The 20749-nt window shown below is 38.7% G+C and overlaps 1 protein-coding gene, 1 non-coding gene and 1 pseudogene across 15 annotated transcripts in view; all 3 read right to left on the reverse strand.

Annotated features, from left to right (window-relative positions):
* Window positions 1-20749, reverse strand: part of SMG1 (SMG1 nonsense mediated mRNA decay associated PI3K related kinase) — a 121549-nt gene that overhangs the window by 56810 nt on the left and 43990 nt on the right. For 12 of the 14 annotated variants that reach the window (XM_047433796.1, XM_005255184.5, XM_047433793.1 and 9 more), the window contains 16 exons: window positions 20496-20669; window positions 17826-18050; window positions 15462-15563; window positions 14455-14724; window positions 10825-10955; window positions 10515-10676; window positions 9695-9813; window positions 9132-9219; window positions 8941-9042; window positions 8185-8325; window positions 7435-7634; window positions 6854-7050; window positions 6521-6685; window positions 4952-5106; window positions 2333-2475; window positions 1981-2182 (listed from right to left, as the gene is read on the reverse strand). In XM_047433796.1, the coding sequence (XP_047289752.1) occupies window positions 1981-2182; window positions 2333-2475; window positions 4952-5106; window positions 6521-6685; window positions 6854-7050; window positions 7435-7634; window positions 8185-8325; window positions 8941-9042; window positions 9132-9219; window positions 9695-9813; window positions 10515-10676; window positions 10825-10955; window positions 14455-14724; window positions 15462-15563; window positions 17826-18050; window positions 20496-20669 (2576 nt within the window). The other 2 variants (XM_011545770.2, XM_017023067.2) reach the window with 2 other exon arrangements.
* LOC124903799 (small nucleolar RNA U13) lies at window positions 8497-8600 on the reverse strand. Its single transcript, XR_007065244.1, has one exon. It is a non-coding gene; the product is annotated as a small nucleolar RNA U13 (small nucleolar RNA).
* Window positions 13224-14253, reverse strand: LOC100996247 (putative uncharacterized protein encoded by LINC00269; annotated as a pseudogene).

Below are 20749 nucleotides of genomic sequence, written 5' to 3' on the forward strand. Positions count from 1 at the left end.
ACATTCATCATTTCTGCCATTAAAAGGTCCTAAGTCCTCTCCAGGTGGCAGGTTCCCCAAGTCCCCACTATGCTCTATAATGCCCTATGCTTTCAGCTAATGACTCAGTCCTCAGAAAAACAAACAAATAAACAAAAAAAGTAGGCTTTAATTTCCTCTACCCCTACCCCCAATCCACCATACACTGCCAAAATTCTGTCTATAGCAACTTTGACTGCTTTCCTTGAGGCAGAGAAAAGGTAAGGGCCAGTTAATCTATCAATGTTCTTTCTCCTGTTTCTTCAACCTCTGCTTTCTAGTGGCTCCTTCCCCTTGGCCAAAAGAACATAATCTCTCCAACATTTAAAATAAACATCTCATATTTCCCTCCAGCAACAGCTTCCTATCCTCGACTTCAAGAAAAACTCACTGACCAAATAACTTACCTCAAGCTTTTCATTTTCAAATGTCTCTACCACTCAATAGTATTCAATCTAGCTGCTTCTGTCTCTCTACAAAACTCTTTTTCCTTATAATCCCTAGAGCATCTGACAAGGCTGACTACTCCCATCTGGATGTCCTATATCTAGGACACTTCCCTTCTCAATGTCCCTGTATTTTTTTGAATGGCCTCCTCTTCTATTCTTTCACAAAAATGCTAAACTAGGATTCTGACCCAGGCCTGCCTTTCTCTTCACTCACTATTCTTCAGAGGCTTCTCTCTGGTTTGGTTGCTTACAAAGGCTCTAGAGTATAGAGACTGAAAAGGAAAGAGGGCCTTTTCTGTGTACTAATGATCTGCAAATCTCTCAAGCTTAGACTTTCTCCTTAGTTCCAAATCCAATTCTTAACAGCTTACCCAACAATCTCATCTGCACATTTCATTACAAATCTTAAAACATGGCTTGTTCTCTGTGTGCTCCTACTCCAGTTAATAGCATTGTTTCTCTTCCCTCTACCATTGCCCCCATAAATTAATGGTCTCCATGCTTCCATACTTGCCCCCCACCTCCAGTCTCTTCACCATAGCAGAATGAACCACCAAGTCAGATCACAACACATCTCTGTTCAAATCCCACCTGAAATTTTCAGTCTTACTAGAATAACAGCCAAAGTTCTTTTCTCAGTTCCCAGCTACTTCTCTGCCCTTATATCCTACTGTTTAAGGCACTCCTAAACACAGAGGCCTCCCAGCTATTTCCAGAATACTCCAAGCCCACCATTCTCACATCAGGTCTAGGGCCAAAGGGCATCCTGATGGGCATGCCTTGACCTTGTGTCTTCCCTCCCAAGAAGGTCAGCTTTACCTAACTGCTTTCCTTATGGCACAGAAAAGGTGAGTGAGGTTCAATTAATCCTTCTATCAATATTCTTTATCTAATCTTTGCTTTAAAAGGTTGGAATTTGTGTCTGTTTTATGTGCTGCCTGGGTCATAGTACATGCTCAGTGAAGCAATTACACATTAACCCATTTAGCAGTAGAAGGCAAGGGTATCAGACAAAGTCTAATGACCTTTATCTTCCCAGCCAAGTGTCTGCAGCAGAGTGAGTGCTCAGTTTTGAATTACAGAATAAAAGCACAGAGGAATGAAAAGAAAGTTTAATTTACAGATGTTCACAAACTGTCCTCATTAGAATAAATGTTTTTGATATATTCAGACCTCATTTAGAAACAAAGCCATCAAACATGATTCTTTCTAAAGCAGTACAAATTTTTCTTTATATTCACTCTGGCATAATCTTCAAACTGTATTAAGGTTTTAGAACAACAGGTTCTGAAAATTAATACCAAATGACTATCTCAGCAGTGTTTTCCCATTACACAAATACCTTCCCTCACCTCTGACGTCAGTTTCCTGTTGTCATTTTCATAATGGCAGTAAGTTAGATATATAACCATTTTGTATTACTACATATGACCAATTTTAATATTTTCTTGCCATAGGAAAAACATCATAGTTATTGGAAATTTGTTTTATAACTGGAAAAAGTAAGCCTTACTTTATATAGTTGAAGTCAGCTTTCAGGTTGAGGGAAGTGCTACTGGTACTCTTTTTCAAGTCATGGATAGCGTTCTGCCATTCCTGCACAGCAGCCCAATCGGCAATTGAGATGTAGCACTCACATGCTTTATTTCCTAAATAATTTATAACCTCAGGGGAAGAGTCAGTCGGTTTGGACAGCACAGTTTTTCTGGATTCACCTGAAAGTATTTTATAAAATAAGAAGAGAGAGATTCAGATCAGTTAGAAATATTTCAAAGAGCACAGAAACCTAAAAACATAAAATAAGATCATCAGTACGAAATATATTACTATAACTTTTGCTTTATTTAAAAATACTGAACGCTCACCATTCAGAGAATGTTTCGGGCTGGCACTGTTACGCCCAGCATTGGCTAAGGTGAGCACCGATTTGTCAAAGCTGGAGATGCAGCAATCAACACCTGTCATGGCACACAGGTGTTCCTGGTACTCCACAGAGGCCTTTTCAAACCTGAAAAGCAAATTGAAGCAGTCTTATTTATTTATCTACTTACTTTTTTTTTTTTTTTTTTTTTTTTTGTGATGAAGTTTTGCTCTTCTTGCCCAGGCTGGAGTGCAATGGCACTGTCTCAGCTCAATGCAACCTCTGCCTCCTGGGTACAAGCGATTTTCCCACCTCAGCCTCCTGAGTAGCTGGGAATACAGGCGCTCGCCACCATGCCCGGCTAATTTTCTTGTATTTTTAGTAGAGACGGGGTTTCACCGTGTTGGCCAGGCTGGTCTTGAACTCTTGACCTCAGGTGATCCACCTGCCTCGGCCTCCCAAAATGCTGGGATTATGGGCATGAGCCACCGCGCCTGGCCTTTACTTACTTATTTTTTGAGACAGAGTCTTACTGTCACCCAGGCTGGAGAGCAGTGGCATGATCATGGCTCGCTACAGCCTTGCCCTCCCAGGCTCATGCAATCCTCCAACCTCAGCCTCCCAAGTAGCTGGGACTATAGGCGCCCACCACCACACCTGGCTAAAACAAGGTTTTGCTATGTTGGCCAGGGTGATCTCAAACTCCTGGACTCAAGCAATCCGCTCACCTCAGTCTCCCCAAGTACTGGGATTTCAGGCGTGAACCACCGCGCCCAGCCCCAAAGGAGTCTTATTTTAAACACACATATCTCATTTCCCCCCTCCCACAAAAAATGGTGCAAGAATAAACTGAGCTAAAACAGTGAGTCGACTATGGTGGGGGGAGGTTTGATGTCTTCCTCACAACTATGAAACTAAATTTAAAAGTGGTTAAATGTTTTTAAAAAAATGTAAGACAGTATAAAAGAACTAGTGGAAAATATTGATAAGTAGCTGATGTCAGTGTGTGGAAAGGCTTTGTAGAAGGATAAAATCCAAGAAAAGATGCACAAGTAACAGATCTAGATGCATAATGCTGAAATACAACATTAAACATTAAAAACAAATTATAAATCAAGAAATTGGATAGCATCAACAATCTTAGTATTTCATAAAATTTCACAGATTAACACAGGAAAAATTGAGAGGCCACGAAGACATGATCCATGTTTTAAAAAATCACAAAAGGTCACTATATGGGGCAACTTCTACTATTAGTCATTAATAAATATAGAAATGTAAAGTACAATAACTATTTTTGCTGACGGTGGTGGCAGCATTCTTGTTTCTCAGTGACTCTCAGTATCCACAAAGATGAAGGGAAGGGGGTACTCTATTATTAAGGGTATAAACTGCAGCCACCTTTTCTGTAGAGTAGCTTAGCAATAGAATATATCATAAGACTTATGGTTTGGCAGCCTTTCTTCTAGTAAATCAGTTTATGAGAATGGATTCCAAGAAAGTAATCAGAAATATAAGCAAAGATATTAAGTGCTACGGTACATTTAGTAAAAAAAAATATCAGAAACAACCTTAATGCCCAACAGTAAGAAATATTAAATTATGGTACACTCATAAATACAAATCTTTATTAAAAATAACACTGTAGAATATTTAACATGGCAATTTTTTTTTTTTTTTTGGAGACAGAGTTTCGCTCTTGTTGCCCAGGCTGGAGGGCAGTGGCACAACCTGGGCTCACAGCAACCTCCGCCTCCCAGGTTCAACCAATTCTCCTGGCTCAGCCTCCCAAGTAGCTGGGATTACACGTATGTGCCACCACACCTCGCTAATATTTTTTGTATTTTTAGTAGAGACAGGGTTTCACCATGTTAGGCTAGTCTCAAACTCCTGACCTCAGGTGATCCACCTGCCTCAGCCTCCCAAAGTGCTGGGAATACAGATGTAAGCCACCGAACCCAGCCTAACATGGCAAATTTTTTTTTTAATATTGAGTGGGAAAAACAGATCATAAAACCATGTGCCTATGTACGCTGCTGTTTTGGTGAAGAGTGGAGAAAACGACATGAAAGAAAAAAGAATTACAAAGCATATGGATATGGAAATACAGAACTACAAAAGGACACACAACAGAAGTTACTACAAAGATATGGAAGTATGAGCAGTTCTTTTATTTTCCTAAATTCGCAAGATTTCATTAAACTAACATAAATGGACACAGAATATTATGGTACAAGCTCCTCTACCTGGAGGAAGCAATGAGTCTGAATGTAGAGTTCACAGGACTAATGAGCAAATACTCTGACAATAAAGGGTAATTTGTATCAGACTCTGAGGGGGAAGGAGCTCAACTAGGGATCAAGTTCAAAAGCATTTATAAAATAACTGACAGGTCTTGTTTTACAGTGTGATTTGCCACTAATTCTTCAGTAAGAAAGGCACTCAAGTATTGCTGCTAACTAAAGAACAAACTGAAGACGCCTCCTGGTGAAGTGATTTATAGCAAGCTTCAATGCTGAAAGCAAACAAAGCTGTTTTAAGATTTGGCTACAATGTCAGTGAGTAATACACAGAACTTAAACATAAAGTAATTCTATCACCCATTTCCTTCCCTCCAACCTACCTCCCTTCAGCCTGTTGAGCCACTGAGTTAATCCACAGAAGATTTTTTCCAACAATAGATGATGACCAGACAGCAATTCCCTGTATAGCTTCAGGACAATGAAGTTCACATAATGCTTCTACCACCATCATAATGGTTACTTCCAATTCATTCCCCTGAAAACGCATTCAGAAAAATTAGTCACCCAATACCATTAAAACATAAATCCCTATAAAATTTACAACTGATCAGTCTGTGCCTGCTTAAAGCCAAATGTATTTAACAATTATTTTCACAATTTTCACATTATTTAGCTCAGAATTCTTTAAAATGTTACATATAAAATAGCCACAAAGGGTGACTAACAGAACCTTAGCAGCACATGGATGTTTGCACCCCCACCCCAAAGTTACCCAAACATTCAACCTGTGACCTCTGTAGGAACAACACATGGAGTAAAAAGAAAGCAAAAATTAAATATAAATAAACAGGAATTAAGGAATGATTAACTTCATGTGTTTGAATACTGCTTGACATTACCTGAATTGCTAAACATTTTGTTATTTTTGGATTCCAGTTATTTATTGTGAGCCCACTTTCAAGCCAGGAATTACTCAAGCATTTGTCATACGTTATAAAAACAATTTCTCCTGGCCAAGTGCAGTAGCTCATGCCTGTAATCCCAGCACTTTGGAAGGCCGAGGTGGGCAGATCACTTGTGGTCAGGAGTTCGAGACCAGCCTGGCCAACATGGTGAAACCCTGTCTCTACTAAAAATACAAAACTTAGCCGAGTATGGTGGCGGGTGCCTGTAATCCCAGGGACTGAGGCAAGAAGAGGCTTGAACCTGAGAGGCAGAGGTTACAGTGAGCCGAGATCGCACAACTGCACTCCAGCCTGGGCGACAAAGTGAAACTGTGTCTCAAAAAATAAATAAATAAATAAATAAATAAATAAATAAATAAATAATTTATCCCATAAACAAATTTTCAGAACTACCTTTAAAGTTCTAAACTTTGCACGTAAGAAATATAGTTTTAACGTGTTCTAACATGAATATTGTTTTAACATAAACAAAAACATGAACATTATTTTAACTTCTTTTTTTTTTTTTTTTTTTTTTTTCTGAGGCGGAGTCTTGCTCTGTCGCCCAGGCTGGAGTGCAGTGGTGCGATCTCGGTTCACTGCAAGCTCCGCCTCCCGGGTTCACGCCATTCTCCTGCCTCAGCCTCCCGAGTAGCTGGGACTACAGGCGCCTGCCACCACGCCCAGCTAATTTTTTGTATTTTTAGTAGAGGCGGGGTTTCACTGTGTTAGCCAGGATGGTCTCGATCTCCTGACCTCATGATCCGCCCACCTCTGCCTCCCAAAGTGCTGGGATTACAGGCGTGAGCCACCGCGCCCGGCCTATTTTAACTTCTAACACTGTAACTCTGGCAGTTGTTGCTTTTACAAAATACAGGATCAAAACCTTTGAAAATGAATCCAAGCTTTAACTTATTTTATCCATAGATTAAATCATACCAAAGGAATTAAACCATGCTTTTCTTATTAACAGACTTAAAATGAATTTCAAACACACCACATTACCTGAGATAGGCTGGTTGTTTTCATCTCTGTAAGCAAGTCAAAGCCATGTCTCACTGTCACTGCAGGCTGGCCTGCCAACAATCCTACCCTCATGATGGAGAGTCGAATCCGCGTTAGCCAGTCCTGACAAGTTTGGCGATTGGTATAGAAAAAAGTTCTAATGACCTTTACGATAAGAGAAAGAAAAGCTCAGGACTGGTTCAATTTGTAGGTAAGGATGTCTCACCTATATATAAACCAAATACACAAGTCTACTGTGATTTCAGCTCTGCACATACTGCCAGCTGTGACCATTAAACTGCTATAAAACAACACTATCTCATGGAAACCAACCTTGGGAGGTGAAGTTAATGCATTAGCACATCCCTCGTATGCATTATACATTAATTTCTCCAGATTTTCCAGATACTGCAGAAGAAGAACAAGTCTAAGTTGGTTGTTACCATGGCCTTCATCATTGTCTGCAGTTGTCCACTGACTAACATCCTGATCAGGGTTTAATGTGTGAGCTGCGAGACTTCGAATGATACCTGAAAGCAAAGACAACATTCTGAATTTTTAAAAATCTTAAAAGTTCCTAGAATAAGTGTGAGTTTTTTATGACCAATTCACATTTATCAAGTATCCTCTGTCTACCCATCATTTAAAAATAAAAAATCCCAACATGAAAGATCTTTCATTTTAGGGGAAAGAAATATATATTTTTTCCACACAACTCCCTAAGTTTTGGGGAAAAAAAAACATATTTCCAATGCAATTATTCAATGAAAGCTTATTCTAACAAACATACCTGAAAATTATTGACTTTTTTCAAAAAAATCATATACTCTCAAATCTTTAACAAAGATTTAAGAATCCAGTATTTCTTAATAAGGCTTTGAAAGTATTCACATCACAAAGCTTGAGTGAGTTACCTTCAATTGTCTGGAAGGTGTCTTGAGCTCTGCCCAGTGGGGTTCTCAGCTTAGAAAGAACAGTGAATTGTGCAGCTTCCCATATGGCCCACTGCCAAAGGACAGCATCTGTCTTCAGGAGATTGCGTGGAATTGTTGACTGGTCACGCTTATCCAGTCTCTGGCAGCTATAGAACAGTCTTTCCAACCAATTGTCCTTCCTGGGAAAAGCAGTTTCATATTTAAAAGACAATGACAACTTCATTTTAATAATGAAAAAAAAAATGCAAGGGGAATAGGAATAAGGAACTGTAATTTTCCCTACTCCAAAAAAGGCAAAACCTATGAAATTGAGAAGCATTGTGTCCCCCCTCTCATTTTGAGGTCTTTTATAGTTAACAGGTTGAGGTACAGTGTGGAAGGATGATTAGGGTAAATGGCTTATGCCAGTCAGGAATGAAACTCACTCAATTCAACTAAGCATGTCTAGAATATCTCCACCCCCACCCCATTCCCCAAAGTGTTAATGACATCACATCAGTTAACTGTTAACCACATTTCATTACTCAATTTCAAAGCCCATTTTTGTTTCTACAGATGCTATCTTCAAAGCAATTTTCCTATTGATGAAAACTAAAATAACCCATATGAGAAGAATGTTACTTGATACTCTGCCACCCCCAAACATATTTTCTCTTCAAAACTGCATGTAAAGTCAAAAGAATCTTAAAATTATGTTTCCCAGATAAAAGAGTCAAAGAAATGCCTTACCCTGTTCTATGAGAGTTCCCATACAAAATAAAACTAATAACATCAGAGAAATCTTGGGGGTGGAATGTATTACTTGGTGCTTTACTCATGTGACTTCTTAATGCTAAAGAAATTTCTTGAATTTCTGTGTGATTGTTATTGCTGTAGACAGAAAATAAAGTTGTTATGCAAAATATTTTAGCTTAAAAGGTTAGCACATACTGTAAGTGGATTATTTACTTATTAACTCACTGGAGGTAAAAATATAGTAAAATTGAGACTTTCAAATGGATACAGAGATGTGATTACAACTTTAGATCCTTTTTTTATTCACCTCAGATGGGTAATGTGCTGACATCATAAGAGGATTTGAGGGAGGCATATCAAACATGTGAAAATAAAAACCCAATCATTATGCTTATGTATTACAAAAGGATCAAGTTTAGGCTCTTAAAGCTCCCAAATCAACTTGATCAAAAACAATAAAAGATTACTGTTTAGTTTTTCAAATATCTGAGCTACTAAGAAACATATTTTGGCACTACATGAGTTATTCTATACTAATTATTGTGAGCCTATAAAGCTCATTAAAAATTTTTAATTTTCTTGCAGACCTGCAAAATTCGATTATTTGACATCACTTCAATCACTGACAAACAGGGCCATAAAAGATGTGTCATTAATGCTCTAATAGGTGATCTGTCTTCTCCTAAAGTAGACAACCAGTAGAGGCTGTAAATATCACAGAATGTCTTTGCTCCAAAACAACTGTTATACCTTAGGACAACATCTAAAGGAATTGATTTCAACAGTTTTCCAAATGCTTGTCGAATACGAGTTCCACTGTGCACTAGTTGAACACGGCAAACATCGACACATCTATGAAAGAACGAAATAGACAAAGCAGGTGTGTTAACATTTCCAGGTTATTAGGGTTAATGTCAAAAGACATGATCTTAATTTCATACCTCTGTAAAAGATCATCTGGCAAGGAAGAGGACAGAGCATGTAGACTGCTGCATGCCTGCAGACAGATATTCACATCTTCAACGAGAGCTATTAAACATTAAAAGACAGTTACTTTCAGCTGGCCAAAAGAAATTATATCCCAGTTTGTCATAATTATCTGAATCCATTCATTCATTCAACAAAGAGTGAGTGCCTACTATAGACTAGGCACTACTCTTGTCCAGAATTCTCACTGACTGTCACATTTGTTAAAATGATACATTCAACAAAACCCACGTAATGTAACTGATGGGTCATCACACAAAACTTTTTCTGAGAGAAAATGTAAAAGTATATGCAAACTATAAACATTCACGTAAGCTTAAAAATGTGACAATCACTTCAAAACATTTTTCTAATACTAAGAATGAAAAAAAATCAAGACTGTGTATCTGTCATTAAAATGAGGATTACACATCTTCAGGTCAGGAAAACAGCTCGATTCATGACCATCTCCCATTACCAAAGACCCTTTTAAGGATTGATAAACAAAATAGAAAAAAAAAAAAAAACAGAGTCTTACTGTTGGCTAAAAGGCCTTTGCAAAATTTATGGAAAGACGGAAGAGAGAATAAAGGTGCGTATGTTTCAGACTTCTTCATTAAAACAGCTGCTTCCAAAGCCCAAGTCATTAACAGTTTCCTGAAACACAAAATATACAGTTGACTGTACATTAAAAAAAACAAAAACCAAAAAACATTAAAAGCCTAGTCTTCTTACATTGGTCTTCTCTTGGTTTTTCAAACATCTCAAACAATAAAAAATAAAAATAAAAAAATGAAACTATAGAAATTACTGTCAAAATTGTTGTGTGCCTTTTAAGAAAACCTCCCAACGCAGCATGATAATAGCAAAGAGGCCGGGTGTGGTGGCTTACCTGAGGTCAGGAGTTCAAGACCAGCCTGGCCAACAACATGGTGAAACACCATCTCTACTAAAAATACAAAAATTAGCTGGGTGTGGTGGCGGGCACCTGTAATCGCGGCTACTTGGGAGGCTGAGGCAGGAGAATTGCTTGAACCTAGGAGGCAGAGGTTGCAGTGAGCAAAACTCCGTCTCAAAAAAAAAAGCAAAGAATATTAAAAATCTATATATATTCTTCTATGAAACACTGGGGGGTGGGGGAGTGAGGTTTTTCATGTATTTCTTTTCAGAAAGAATAAGAAAGCCTAGATTAAATAATAAAACCAAATTATAAGGTGTTTGACAATAAAGAAGCTGCTCTACCTCACCTCTATAATCCACATTTTTAAAAATTTTTTGTAATCCACATTTCTTATTCTCAAATTATAAAGGCAAATTAACAAAGTTAGGAATAGTTAATACTATATAATATCTGTTACCTCGTGTCCTGGTTAAGGTTATCTTTCTTAAGTAATATTCCCAGAAGATTTAATATAATTGAGAAATGTTTCTTTGTAGCCGTAGTTACAGTGCTAATCACAGCTCCATCAAACAAAGAAGGAGAGGAAGAACTGAGGCTACTAGAGATAAAGTGATCATGCCTGAAAGACAAAGCACAGATTATCTTTTCATCTTTAATCAAAGAAAGCAAGCAAGTCCAAAGTTAAATCAACATACATCTTTAAAATCTATCCATTAAAAAAAAAAATGTTTTGTGGGGTTCTTAAGAAAAATTTGTAAATACAGTACCTGGTACAATGAGAATACAATGTGTAGAGCACAGCATACTGAATGGCAGGGAAGTGAACAGCCAGGTCACTGTGCACAATCATCAGATTCTTACTCAGAAGTGCAAAGACAGTTGGAGATAGCGCCCACATCTGATCATGTACAAAACAAAGTAAGTTTATGGCTTCTCCAAAATAAGCACAAGCATACAGAGTTTATCCTTCAAAATAGGGGTATCTGGACATTTTTAAATTAAAATTACAGACTGCAAGGGATCTAGTACACTAAACCTGGGACAAACACTTTTTTATGAAGTCAGTAAAGCCTTTGCGTGCAATATACCATCTCTATGCAATGCAGCAACTCCTCGTCTATCGCTACAGTAAGAAAACAGCCACAGGTCAGGTGTTGTGGCTCACACCTGTAATCCTAGCACTTTGGGAGGGTAAGGTGGGCAGATCACTTGAGCCCAGGAGTTTGAAACCAGCCTGGGCAACACAGCGGGACCCCATCTCTACTAAAATTACAAAAATTAGCTGGGCATGGTGGCATACACTTGTAATCCCAGCTACTCGGGAGGCTGAGGCAGGAGAATCGCTTGAACCTGGGAGGCAGAGGTTGCAGTGACCCGAGATCATACCACTGCACTCCAGCCTAGATGACAAAGTTAAGACTCTCTCTCTCAAAACAAAACAAAAAACACCAGCCACATACAAAACACAGGAATGAGAGTACCTGTGTTCCAAGAAAACTTTCTTTTTTGAGTCAGAGTCTCTTGCTCTGTTGCCCAGGCTGGAGTGCAATGGTGCGATCTTGGCTCACTGCAACCTCCACCTCCGGGGTTCAAGCAATTCTCCCTGCCTCAGTTTCCCAAGTAGCTGGGATTACAGGCGCCCATCACCATGCCCTGCTAACTTTTGTATTTTTTTAGTAGAGATAGAGTTTCACCATGTTGGCCAGGCTGGTCTTGAACTCCTGAGCTCAGGTGATCTGCCCCCCTCGGTCTCCCGAGGGATTACAGGCGTGAACCACTGCGCCCAGCCCAACGAGAACTTTCTTTACAAAAACAGGCGCTAGTGTTGTGATGGTTGTACACTTCTGTGAATATACTAAAAATCAGTGAATTATACATTTAAAATAACAAACAAAAAACAAGTGCTGGGCTGTATTTGGCCCATGGACCATAGTTTGCCGATCTCTGGTCTAAACAAAGCCCTCTGTATGTGCCTTTTGCGGAAGTAGACTGTATTTCCTCAATTTTCCATATACTGCAAATGGCAAGGTGCCCTGTTCAATAAGGAAACAAAGGCACACCCTGCCACTCTACACCTTTTCCATCCATCTTTTTCCTTTACACTGCCAAGACACTCCATTCCACCTGACTGCCCCATCCCCACCCACTTTCTCCTTATTTCTAGAGTACAGGACATAAACATCTCTGAATCTGTAAATAATGTGAATTCCTCAAAAATCAAGCTTTCGTGTTCGAAGAAGAATTTATTGTGACTTCAAACATAAGCTGTAACTGGTAATAAGCGAAGCAGCTATGGAATTATACAAGGCAATCCAATCAAACAACCCAGAGCACATGTAAGCGCAAACATCAAGTTTTACCTTTTTCCTCCTAAAAACTTTATTCCCTAATTATGTCCATTACTTTCTTTCTTTGTGTTTTTTTTCTTTTGAGACAGAGTCTGGTTCTGTCGCCCAGACTGGAGTGCAGTGGTGTGATCTCAGCTCACTGCAACCTCCACTTCCTGGGTTCAAGCAATTCTCCCAACTTAGCCTCCAAAGTAGCTAGGATTACAGGTGTGCACCACCACCCCTGGCTAATTTTTCTATTTTTAGTAGAGGCGAGGTTTCACCATGTTGGCCAGGCTGGTCTCAAACTCCTGACCACAAGTGATCAGCCCGACTTGGCCTCCCAGAGTGCTGGGTTTACAGGTGTCAGCAACCGTGCCCAGCCCACACCTATTACTTTCTATTAAAAAGAATGTTTTTCAACTCTGTGTGGTCCAATAGGAAGAAGAAATACACAAACCATAAACAATAAATACAAATCAAGAGCAGGGCCATGTCGAATTACTTAAAAAAAAAAAAAAAAAAAAGCAGGCTGGGCGCGGTGGCTCACGCCTGTAATTCCAGCACTTTGGGAGGCTGAGGCGGGTGGATCACCTGAGGTCAGGAGTTTGAGACCAGCCTGGCCAACATGGTGAAACCAAGTCTCTACTAAAAATACAAAAATTAGCCCGTCGTAGTGGTAGGTGTCTGTAATCTCAGCTGCTCGGGAGGCTGAGGCAGGAGAATTGCTGGAACCCGGGAGGCAGAGGTGGCAGTGAGCCGAGATTGCACCACTGCACTCCAGCCCAGGCGACAACAGCATGACTCTGTCTCAAAAAAAAAAAAAAAAAAAAAAAAAAAAAAAAAAGCCTTTTTTTTTTTTTTTTCCCCTAAAAGAAGGACTACGGGTTGAGTATCCCTCATTCATAATGCTTGGGACCAGAAGTGTTTCAGACTTTGTATATTTTTGGATTTGAGAATACTTGCATATATATAAAATGAGATATGTGGAGGATGGGACCCAAGTCTAAACACGAAATTCACTTATGTTTCATAGACACCTTCTATTCATAGCCTGAAGGTCATTTTATGCAATATTTTAAATAATTTTGTGCATACAACAGTTTGGACTCATCACATGAGATCAGGTGTGGGATTTTCCACTTGGGGCATCATACTGGTGCTCAAAAAGTTTCAAATTTTGGAGCATTTTAGATTTAGGATTTTCAGATTAGGGATGCTCACCAGTAAGTGTTATGAAAATACTCCAAAATCCGGCTGGGCATGGTGGTGCCCACCTGTAATCCCAGCATTTTGGGAGGCCAAGGCAGGTGGATCACCTGAGGTCAGGAGTTCACAACCAGCCCGGCTAACATGGTGAAAACCCATCTCTACTAAATACAAAAAAATTAGCCAGGCATGGTGGTGCATGCCTGTAATCCGAGCTACCTGGGAGGCTGAAACAGGAGAATCGCTTGTACCCGGGAGGCGGAGGTTGCAGCGAGCCAAGATCGCGCCATGGCACTCCAGCCTGGGCAACAAGAGTAAAACCCCATCTCCAAAAAAAAAAAAAAAGTATTCCAAAATCCAAAATCCAAAACACTTCCAGTCCCAAGTATTTCAGATAAGGAATATTCAACCTGTATGAATGTTCCTAGGGAAAAGAGACAGCCAAAATATAAGACCATGTATAAGAACTAACTTCAGTAGACAGAAAGAAAAAAGTACCAGGGGAAGAAGAAAGAGACCGCATTTTAAAACAACTACACAAATTTGAGCTGTAAGAAACACTGACATTTTCTATAAGCATGCTAGAGCAAATAGGAGAAATTCATAAGACATTTTCTAGAAAATAAAACTAATATAAAAAAACTTATCAAGATTTGTCAAGGAAAAAGAAGAAGAAAAGTTAAATATAATGCCAAGAAAACATTCCTACCAATTTTATTTATCCAGGCATGTCTTAAATATGGCTGTTTGTTACACACAGTGATTCTGCAGACATCTTGACATGACAGTGAAATACATAAATATGTAATGAGAAAAGGCTTAACTGTGGATAAAACAAAGTCATTACAATTAAAGACTCACCCCTATTAGTGAGTTTTTGGCATTTCCAATTGTAGTCAGGGCACTGAGGTCAAATATAACTACAAATTTTGCATTGTCTACATTGAACACATGATTCTTAAAAGCCTCATGTTTTATTTCAGAACAGGCCTCAGGAAGTTGTAGACTGTGTAGGAGGTTGTTTAGGGCACAAGTCATTTCTCCCAATATTAACTTATAGGCAGTCTCCAAAACAGGAATATTCTTCAAGCTGAGCACTGCTTGATAAACAGCATGGGCTACAGCAACAACCTGAAAAACAAAAAATTCAAGGAAGTGATAAATGGAAAATAAATCTTCTAAAATTATATGGAAAATAAATCACTATCTGTATTAGTGCTGACGATACAAATAAATTTAAGATCGATCAATTCACTGTCCGTAGCACTTAATATTTTAACTTTTTAAAAACCAGTCAGAAAACTGACACAGATCAGTATGCTATTTCAAGTCTATAAAGTTTTATCACAAATACAGAGTACTATAAATGAAAACTGTCAATATGAAATTTCCGAAATGGCCGTTTTTTTTTTTTTTTAAATAATCAACATCAGAAGACATATGCAAACAGCAGTTTAAGACTGGGTTTCTTAAATCTACCAGGAAAGTCTGTGGTGGATTTGACTAGGGGGTGGTTGAAAAGCCAGTCATTTTTGTTTACAAAATATACAGTACTTCTTAATTTATAACGTTATAAATGTGTCAACTTGTTTTACCCTTATGAAAATTTAAATTTATAATAAATTTATAATAAATTTAATAACAGCAAAAGATGCATAGTCTGAAAAGAGTATCTGGCACATCATTCATGAAAGTATTCAGTATGATTCTCAAGAAATACAAACTTAAAAGAACAAATACAATCACTATATTCTAAATCAAACATTTCACATTTCACTCAATTTCACTTATACAGCCTGGTAAGCAACATTAGGTCCAACTCTTCAGTGACTCAAGTTGTCAAAATTCATTATCAATGTATTACTTACCTCTTTTTCTTTATGATAACGCAAGAATAGTAGTTTAGATGATGGTATAAACAGTTTTTCTACAAATGATGATGGCAGTTTCGTATTTATCTGTTCAACAATCTAAAAGAATAAAATTTTTAAAAAATGAGCTTCTCCAATTACAAAAAGACATGGAGAAACCTTAAATGCACACTGATAAGTGAAAGAAGCCAATTGAAAAGGCTACATACTATATGACTCCAACTACATGGCATTCTGGAAAAGGCAAAACGACGGAGACAGTAAAAAGATCAGGGATTGCCATGGGCTTAAGATGGAGGGAGGGAGGAGTGGGGAGAGGGAACGAGGAAGGAGTGGGTGGAACATAAAAGATTTTTAGGGAAGTGAAACTATCCTGTATGATACTGGTAATAGGGGATACATGTCATTACACATGTTAAAGTCCATAGAATACATAACACAAAGTAAACTATAAAATTAGTTAATAATAATATATCCATATTCGCTCCTTTGTAATAAATGTACCACACTAACACAATATGTTAATGAGGGGGAAACTGTTGGGATGAAGAAGGTATATGGGAACTCATTGTTTTCTGCTCAATTTTCTGTATATCTAAAAAATAGTCTTTTAATTTAGAAAAATATATCTAAGCTATATTTTAAGGCCTTAATACTGTGACATTAAAGTGTTTAGACACCTAAATAGGACACACGTATTTTACAGTTATCATGGGCATTTTTTCACATTAGTAAAAAGAGGTGTAATTCTGGCAGAAATGCTCAGCAGAATGTCATCTAGAATTTGCTTTAAAATACTCCAGTTGGAGATGAAAGGATAGCAAAGAGGCCTAGATGAAACCAGATGGGCCATTTGTTTCTAATTATAGAAGCTGAGTGTTAAATATGTACAAATTTATTATACTATGCTCCCTATTTTTATGTGCTTCAGAATGTCCATAATAAAAGTGAGGGGAGGATATTTATGGTTAAGAAATTAAAGGAGGCCAGCCGGGCGCGGTGGCTCACGCCTGTAATCTCAGCACTTTGGGAGGCCAAGGCAGGCAGATCACGAGGTCAGGAGATCGAGACCATCCTGGCTAACATGGTGAAACCCCGTCTGTACTAAAAATACAATTGCACCACTGCACTCCAGCCTGGGCAAAAGAGCGAGACTCCGTCTCAACAAAAAAAAAAAAAAGAAATTAAAGGAGGCCAGGCATGATTGCTCACACCTGTAATCCCAGCACTTTGGGAGGGCAAGGCAGGAGGATTACTTGAGACCAAGAATTTGAGGCCAGCCTAGACAATGTAGTGAGACCCCTTCTCTCCAAAAAATACAAAGGTTAGCCAGGCATGGTGGCATGCATCTGTAGTCCCAGATAGTCGGGAGGCTGAGTGGGAAGATCACTTGAGCCCAGGAGTTTGAGGCTGCAGTGAGCTCTGATTGTACCGCTGCACTCCAACCAGGGGAATACAGCAAGATCCTGTGACAAAAAAAAAAAAAAGAAAAGAAAAGAAAAAAAAGAAAGAATCTGGTGCATAGAGCAATGTTTCCTCAAAAAACACAAGTAAAGCTACACTGAGACTAGCTATCAACCAGTAAAAATAGAGGCCTGGTAGAGTGGCTCATACCTATAATCCCAGTACTTTGGGAGGCCAAGGCAGGTGGATTGCTTGAGCCCAAGAATTCAAGACCAGCCTGGGTAACATGGCAAAACTCCATCTCTACAAAATAATACAAAAAATTAGCCAGGTGTGGTGACGCACGCCTGTAGTCCTAGCTACCTGGGGGGCTGAGGTGGGAGGATCACCTGAGCCCAAGAGGTCAAGGCTGCAGTGAGCCAAAATCATGCCACTGCACTTCATCCTGTGCAACAGAGTGAGACCCTGTCTCAAAAAAAAATTGCATTAAAAATAAAAGTAAATAGACACTAAAATGAAAGCACAGATTATAACTGATGAATGTACTCTAAGAAAATAATATAATAAAGCAAAGCCCTTATTTTTTTTTCTTTTTTGGAGACAGGGCCTTTTTTTGTCACCTTGGCTGAGTGCAGTGGCACAATCAGAGCTCTCTTCAACCTCAAGTTCCTGGGCTTAATCGATCCTCCTCCCTCAGCCTCCCGAGTAGCTAGGACTACAGGTGCACGCCACTACACCAAGCTAATTTTTGACTTTTTGTACAGATGGGGTCTCACTACATTGCCCAAGCTGTGCCAGAATTCCTGGATGCAAGCAATCCTTCTGCTTTGGCCTCCCAAAGTGCTGGGATTACAAGCATGAGCCACCATGCCCAGACAAAGCCCTTAATTTCTTACATATCGATTTAAGGGCCTGAATAAACCAACACATTAAAAAGGAAAAGAATAATTCACATACCAGCGTGAGTAAATTCAAGACTGAGATGATATAATCGGTACCACAAGTCTGGCAATTCTCCAGTTGGTCTAATCCATATGTAATGACCATGTCACAATGTATAGTCATGCTAGGATCCAAGCTGCCGAGCAAAACACCAACACACTCATTAGCAGCTGTCAACACAGCCTCAGAAAAAAACACCTGGTTTGCAGCCGTCACACATCTCATTACTCTGTACAGAACCTGTAAATGGGGAAAACAAGCAGCTTTTTAAAAAAATTCACGTGCTTCCACAAAGCAAGAAAATACTTTTTATTTAATGCAATTTCAACTGAAAATTAACTGCTTGCCTTGCCAGCAGTCTCTTAATATTCTAGTTCTCAGTAGTTGAATAATAATGATATCTTTAGTACAGTATGTAAACATGATCTTGGCTAAAAAATCCTAAAGTGCTATTATGACAGGAAATGGAATCTGCCATCCTCTATTTCCCATATACCCAACTTCGTTTCTCCCAATGTCACTAAATGGCGGAAGCTCAGAATCTTTATCATGAAATACACCACCACAACAGTAATGGTATTGACAGCATGGGAATAGCCTGCCCACACATACTACAAGCTAGCTCTTGGGCTTTTGGGAATCAATCTTTTAAAACTAAACAGACAAGTCACTTTAAGCTTATTAAAGTTTCTATCTACTGATGGTCTCTTTTGAAAGATAAGCACTCTCATGCTTACCACAAAATACCTTCAAAAATCATATTATTTCCAATACACACACAAACAAAATCCCCCACTTAACTATAATGGCCAATAATTGTGTACTAAATTTCTAATAAAATAGGGGAGAAAACAGAGCAAATGTTAAAAAATATTTCTATAATATTTAACAACCAATACATACAGGATTTTATTTAGTCTACCCATAGTTTTCATTAAAAGTATCCTTGGAGGTTAGGCACAGTGACTCATATCTATCATCCTAGCACTTTGACAGGATTAGCTGGAAGGTTCTCTTGAGTCCAGGAGTTTGAGACCAGCCATGTCAACATAACAACACCTCATCTCTACTAAATTTGTTTTTAAATTAGTTGGGCATGGTGGCTCGCACCAGTAGTCCCAACTACTTGAGAGGCTGAGGTGGGAGGATCACTTAAGCCTGGGAGGTCAAGGCTGCAGTGAGCCAAGATCGTGCCACTGCACTCCAGCGTGGGCAACAGAGACCATGTCTCCAAAAAAAAAAGGGGGGGGGCGCGGAGGGGGAAGCATTCTTGGCCATGCACAGTGGCTCATGTCTATAATCCCAACACTTTGGGAGGCTGAGGTGGGAAGACTGCTTGAGGCCAAAAGTTCAAGACCAGCCTGGGAAACACTGAGACCCCATCTCTACAAAAATAAAAAATTAGCAGGAGCTATAGTGGGAAGATCACTTGAGCCCAAGAGATAGAGACTGCACTGAGTCGTGATGGCACCACCCCACTTTAAAAAGAAAAAAAAAAAAAAAAGCTGGGTATGGTGACACTCGCTTGTAGGGCTGAGTGAGGTGGGAGGTTCATATGGGCCCAGGAGTTCAAGATTACAGTGAGCTATGATTGCTCTACTACACTCCAGCCTGGGTGACAGAGTGAGGCTCTAGCTCCAAAAAAAAATTAAATTAAATTAAATTTAAAAAAAAAAAACCACCATTCTACCATTCTCAAAGGCCTAAAAGATCCTCATAAATCAATATACACCTATCCTATAAATTATGTCCCTTTTATTTTATGTCTGAAGTAATGGCTTTTTATTTCAACTCTGTACAGTCTTCAAACAACCACCTTTTAGATATTAAAAATGAAGCAAAGATATTAAACCATTTTGAAACCATATTGGTTTAAAATACCAATATGCTGGTTTCATTTAAGTTCTGACATTTCTGCTCAAGTACGCAACTTACTAAAAATTTTATATATCTACATAATCAATATCCTATTTTATCTAGCAACGTGTTCAGCAAAAGTATATGCTCCTAAAAGCAAGTTTTATCCTAACAGTAAAATTTTCATCAGTTCGATTAAATCTTTTATGACTATATCACACATGCTTCTTTCTCCTTATTCAAAGCAGAGTACAATGCCTGGGGTTCATTTCTTGTGTCTTTTCCACTGAACCCTCATTGGATGTGCTACATACAGTGCAGCTAATGTTTGAGGCTGCTGAAGTGTGGCAAGCTAGCTACCTCATTTTTAATTTGTTTATGTTCTTTGATATCAGGCTATCAAAGAATATAAAGGTATACAAGTTTTCATATGAGTTCCATCTTATGTTCAGAGAAGATTACTTTCTGAGGCTTTTCCTATAGTGTGCTATTCGTAGTATGCTGAAAAACTAAAAGGAAACCCAATAATTTAAAAGTAAAATTATAATAAATATTATTTAAAAACGAAAGAATAAGATTTAAAAATTCAGAGTGGCCTTTTGTCATGGGAGGGTAGGGGAGTTGGATGAAAGGAGGATGAGATGTAACAGGATTCCCTACTTTTCTAGTTATTCAAGAAAACAGTCAGACAATATATACATATATACATACATACATACATGCTAAACAAATGAAGGATTAATAACAGTTCACCAGGTAAAGAGAAGCATTTACAGTGTAAAACAATTTTATTTTTGAATGACACTTGAAATGCCCAAAAGCACTTACATCTGTTACATATGCCTCAGTAATTGGAGGACCCCGAATTGGGCTGAAGCGTTCCCCAATGCTCCTCACCACAGTACTAAATACCCGGAGAAGTGCAGCCAGCTTTGGTAATGACACTGATGGAGGAGGGACATCTTCATCCACTGATTCCCCAGAGGCCACATGGCTGAGGTCCTAGATGTGAATTCACAGCATTCTTAATAAGTAGTACATTGTTTTAAATAAAAAAAAAAAAAACTCTAAAATATTTCAAT

The sequence above is a fragment of the Homo sapiens genome, chromosome 16 (genome assembly GCF_000001405.40).
Source record: "Homo sapiens chromosome 16, GRCh38.p14 Primary Assembly".
In the NCBI taxonomy this organism is placed as follows: domain Eukaryota; kingdom Metazoa; phylum Chordata; class Mammalia; order Primates; family Hominidae; genus Homo; species Homo sapiens.